Here is a 5352-nt window from a genome sequence, read left to right as displayed (position 1 = left end):
ACCACTGTTGCTATTTGATGAATATTTGAATATTTACTGAATGCTGACTGTCTGAGGCACTCTAACAATCCTAAGGCTCAGGTAGTAAAATTATTCCCCTTTAATTAATGAAAGAACTGAGATTCAGCGAGGTTAAGATTTGCCTAAAAACACACAGCTGATACGTGGTAAAGCCTGGATTTGAACCTGGTTCTGTATCCCAATTTTCTCACAATATTTTATTTGTCTTGATCTACCAAGATTTGTCTTGGTATTTGTCTTGATACCAGAGATGATGGTACATCATCAAACAATCCCAATTTTCAAATGGGAAATACTTCAAAGCAAAAAGATACTGCATGAAGATGTTTCAAAAATGCGTTTTGTCTTTCAGGTCTTGTCACAGTTATTGCAATTTTGTAAGATCATTCATTGCGAAAGTGGTGTTTTGATTCTTTGCCCTTTCCGGCAACAAAAACAGAAAGCGACTTCCCTTCTATCATTTGGCCTGAGGCTTCTTTCTGCTTCTGCCCAAGGCAGACTGTGGTTAGCACTCAGTGCTTAACCTCTTCCTCCTGCATGTCCCTCTGAAGTAATACATTTTTGTTTTGACACTTTGGATATACTGGACCCTAAAAATCAAGCCAATAAGGAGCAGCCCAGAAAGGAAGAGAGTGCCATAGTCTCACCTGTGTTTTAGGGAGGTTAGTTTTGTAGCCGTGCAAGGGCTGGCTTGATTAGGAGATCTTAGACTCAGAGAAATTGGTTATCACTTTTAAAAAATGAACAAATGACATGGGTAACAACCTTACCCCATTCATAAGCTTCACCATCTCTCACCACATCTCTGTGTCCAGCCCCATTCCTGAATTCCTCATCTGACCCTCATTTCATCCTGACATTAAGGAGATTATCTACACAGATTATTTGATGATTTTTTAAAAGCTGAAAATTTAATAATTTATTCTTTACAGTAATGAATTAAGTCTGAACACTGAAATATCACTGGCACTAAAACTACCTCAGTAAAACATCATGTACCCAATACCCAATCCTGACTACCCAGTTTTGTTCCCCAGCCAGTCTAGCCCTGACAGTTTTAGACACTTCCTGCACATTCTCCACCATTAACCAGCTCTAGCTCCTCCTGGTAACTCTACAGTGGCTCTCAAGATAGAATTGTCATTAAATGTGGAAACTTTGGTTATCTTTATTTTTATAATTATTTATTGATTGATTTATTTTTTGAGACAGAATCTCACTCTTGTCATCCAGTCTAGAGTGCAGTGGCACAATCTTGGCTCACTGCAACGTCTATCTCTGGGTTCAAGCAATTCTCCTGCCTCAGCCTCCCCAGTAGCTGGGTTTACAGGCATGTGCCACCATGCCTGGCTAATTTTGTATTTTTAGTAGAGATGGGGTTTCACCATGTTGGTCAGGCTGGTCTCAAACTTCTGACTTCAGGTGATCCACCCGCCTCGGCTTCCCAAATTGCTAGGGTTACAGGCCTGAGCCACTGCATCTAGCCAGAGATCAATTTTTAAAAATTCTGCATATGAGTGAGAACGTGTTGTGTTTGTCTTTCTATGTCTGGCTTACTTCACTTAACATGTTTTCCAGATTCATCCATGTTGTTGCAAATGGCAGGATTTCGTTATTTCTTACGGCTGAATAGTATTCCATTGTGGTATATATATACATATATATATATCACATTTTCTTTATCCATATTCATCCATTGTTGAACACTTAGATTGATTCCATATCTTGGCAATTGTCAATAATGCTGTAGTAAACATGGGAGTGCAGATATCTCTTCAATTTACTGATTTCATTTCCTTTGTATATATACCTAGTAGTGACATTGTTGGATCACATGGTAGTTCTATGCTTAATTTTTTGAGGAACTTTAATACTGTTTTCCATAATGGCTGTGCTAATTTAAGCAGTGGTAACTTCGGAACCAAGCTGTCTGAATTCAAATCCCACCTTTACCAGTTTGCATGTGACTTTGGGCAAGTTAATTACCCCATGCCTCAGTTTCCTTGTTTACAAAATGGAGAAATAGTATCTATTTTATAAGGTTGTTGTGAGATCAAATACTTGTAAAGCTATTGCTTGTAAAGCTCTTAGAATATGGCCTGGCATATTGTAAGCACAGTGTAAATGTTAGCTATAAAGACAAATGGAGTCATCTGTCCATCTTGTCATCTCAAGGGTCAGTGGTCAAGATATATTTCTTAAAAATTATTTTAAATTTTAATGGTTTTCCTATTTTATTTATCGGCATTGCAGAGTAATTTTGTTGCACATGCACAGTAGTTTGTTTACAAATTATACATCAAATAGATTTGTATGGGCTTGTCTAGAAATCTTAACCATTTATAACATTGTGTGTCATATACATATCTCTATCTATCTAAATTTATATTTGTATGCACACACACAAAACACTTTTTGCAGTAGATTTTTGGACACAGATTTTATGAACTATATCCAGCTTATTTTATAAATTTATTTTTCTTCTATGTATTTTTCATTTTCCAGAGGTTGGGCTCACAAAGCATTGTCAAGACTTGAGGTGGCCTTGAATAGCATGCTAGAATTTTGTATTTTATTCCCTGCGTTATAAGGATATGCCCAGAAAGGAAGAGAGGGCCATAGTGTAACCTGTGTTTTAGGGAGGTTAGTTTTGTAGCAGTGCAAAGGCTGGCTTGATAATGAGGTCTTGGAGTCAGAGAGATTAGTTAAAAGGCAGTTAGAATAACTCAGTCTGAGAACCTCAATTAATGTGCTGGACAAGAGGGAATACATGTAAGAATAATCTGGGGATAGAATCAAGAGGACTCAAGAGTGCAGTGGTGAAATGGTGGAGAGAATTCCAAAGGCTTTCAGTTTCGGTTGATGAGAGGCCGGTGAAACCATTAGGAAAGACAGCCTTCTCTATTACTTCCTAAATACAGAAGGGATTCAGAATTTTCAAGGAGAGGTAGAGGTAGAGACTGTAGAAGGTCAGAATATAAAGCAAGCCTATTCCTCAGCTTAAAAAACTTGGCATCTGAACCTAAAACTAAACAAAGTTGGAATCTTTTGTTTAAAAAAAAACAGAACATATTTAGTTGATAATGATTTTCACTGATGATTCATTTGACCATGATAATTAAACACATTAAATGTTACATTCCAGGCAGTATCAGGTAGATGCTAAGTTGTGAAGCAACACACTTTTTCATCCCTGCAGATCTGAAAGTTTACCTTTTCCAATACAGTAGCCAGAGCTCTGGAAAGAAACAAACAAGGCCACAAGTGCCCCAACTACATCCTTTTCAAGATGCGAATGCTTTCCACCTCCATCCAAGACTCTCAGAGCCTGTGTGTTCAGTGGGCAAAGAACGAGACAACAAGATGCCTTGGTCCAAGACTGCATGGGCAGTTAACTGTGCAGCAGGGAATGGCTGAGGCCTCCAGCCCGGAAATGGTGTGCTCTTACTAAACCACACTTCTCTCCCACCTCCCTCCCAAAAACTCCAGCTCGCATAGGGAGAGTTTCTGAGAATGAAGCTTTTCTATATTGTATCTGTGGGTTCTCTTACCGTGTTAGCTAAGTCAGAAATCCAGATGCATGACAAATACAGTGGTACTAATGGCGACTAAGGGACAGATATATATATATATATTTTTTTTTTCTTGGCTCACTGCAACTTCTGCCTCCTGGGTTCAAGTGATTCTCCTGCCTCAGACTCCTGAGCAGCTGGGATTACAGGCACATGCCAGCATGCCTAGCTAATTTTTGTATTTTTAGTAGAGACAGGGTTTCATCATGTTGGTCAGGCTGGTCTTGAACTCCTGACCTCGTGATCCACCCACCTCGGCCTCCCAAGGGAGACAGACTTTTTAAGACACTGGGAAAAACCTAGAGTGTGTAGTTGCCATAATAAAAATATATCATTTAAAAGACTGATTCCACAAATATTTATTCAGTACCTACCAGGTGTCAGGCACTGTTGTAGGCAATGGGTAACAGAGTAGTGAAGAAAACACCAATATGTTATGTAATGGGAATGGGCACCCCACTGGGTGGTGTGTTGGGACTTAGGATCAGGTCTATCAAGTTAAAGGTGTGACCCAATGAGAACACGATTGCACAAGTAATCATATCACAGATTTTTAACTTCTACTTGAATTTCAATAGTAAAAGAGGATCAATTTGAACCCTGCTTGACTTATCAGTAATATATCCCTAACTCCCAGTGAAAAGTCATCTCTCTCTTCTCTGAGCTCTCCTCTCCATCCTTTGATCCTCTGAAAAACACTGGATCATTCTACCATGCATTATAATGATTTATGCATGTCTTATCAGCCTTTGTAGACTCCTTCAAAGCAGGTGTTGCTTCTCTCTCTAGATCCCTCTCCTGACACTGGACATTGCCCTCATTCCCTTCTCTTTTCCACCCCCCTTCATCACACACTTGGAACTCCTTGCACACAGAACTCTCTGTTGTTGCCAGTATATGACAGACTCTGTTCCAGCCCTTTGCCATTGTACACACAGTTCTCTGTGACGGAACACTCTTTCCTTCTTAATTTCCTGGGAAAACTGTGACTTCTCTTCAAATAATCAGCTCAGAAGCTACTTCCTCAGTTAAGTTCCCTATGACTTCTCTAGGCAATGTGTGGTCATGTCCTTTTGCCGTTGCAAGGCTCTAGGCATATCTCTGTTAGTTCACTTATCATTGTGGTTTTTTTTACAATGTTTGTTTTTTGGTCTATAAGCCCTGGGCAGAGTCCTGGTTTTATCTATCTATGCCTCTAAGTCCTTGCATCTGTGCCTGGAAGAGGCCTTCAGTGAAAGTGTGCTGAGCAATTGACTTGCCTTCTGAAATACCAAGAAGGTATCCACATTACTCTAAGGCTCTCCTGTCTGCCAAGCACCCCACCACTCCCACCAAAAAGCACATTCGTCATTGCTAGAAATTCTCCCCATACCTAGGGACTGTATAGGTCTCCATGCTGTCCATCCAGTGCTCTATCCACAGCTTAACATTTGGATTCTAACAGAAGTCTCAATGCCTTCAAGCCAAGGAGTATTTGTATTTTTGGTAGACACAGGGTTTTGCCATGTTGGCCAGGCTGGTCTCGAACTCCTGGCCTCAAGTGATCCACCCACCTTGGCCTCCCAAAGTGCTGGGGTTATAGGCATGAGCTACCACGACCGGCCTAAATTTGTATTATTTTTTGTTATTGTGTTATTTCAAAAAAAATTTTCCAAATATTTTTTATCTGTTTTTGGTTTAATCCTCTGATTTGGAACCTGTGGATATGGAGGGCTGGCTACGTTCTATTTTGAATTCACCCTACAATTAGTTGTGTGAC

The 5352-nt window shown here is 39.8% G+C and overlaps 1 annotated feature.

The window, feature by feature from the left end:
- Window positions 4509–4992: a transcriptional cis regulatory region, noted in NCBI's record as "candidate enhancer chr11.4678 targeted for multiplex CRISPR interference". NCBI's record gives its function as "positively regulates expression of the PICALM gene with high confidence and the PRSS23 gene with lower confidence in K562 cells {active_cell/tissue: K562}" and the evidence as "EXISTENCE:mutant phenotype evidence [ECO:0000015][PMID:30612741]".

Source organism: Homo sapiens, chromosome 11 (assembly GCF_000001405.40).
Source record: "Homo sapiens chromosome 11, GRCh38.p14 Primary Assembly".
NCBI classification, from domain to species: Eukaryota; Metazoa; Chordata; class Mammalia; order Primates; family Hominidae; genus Homo; species Homo sapiens.
Note: the sequence above shows the minus strand (reverse complement) of the source record. Positions and strands in the feature narration are given on the sequence as shown.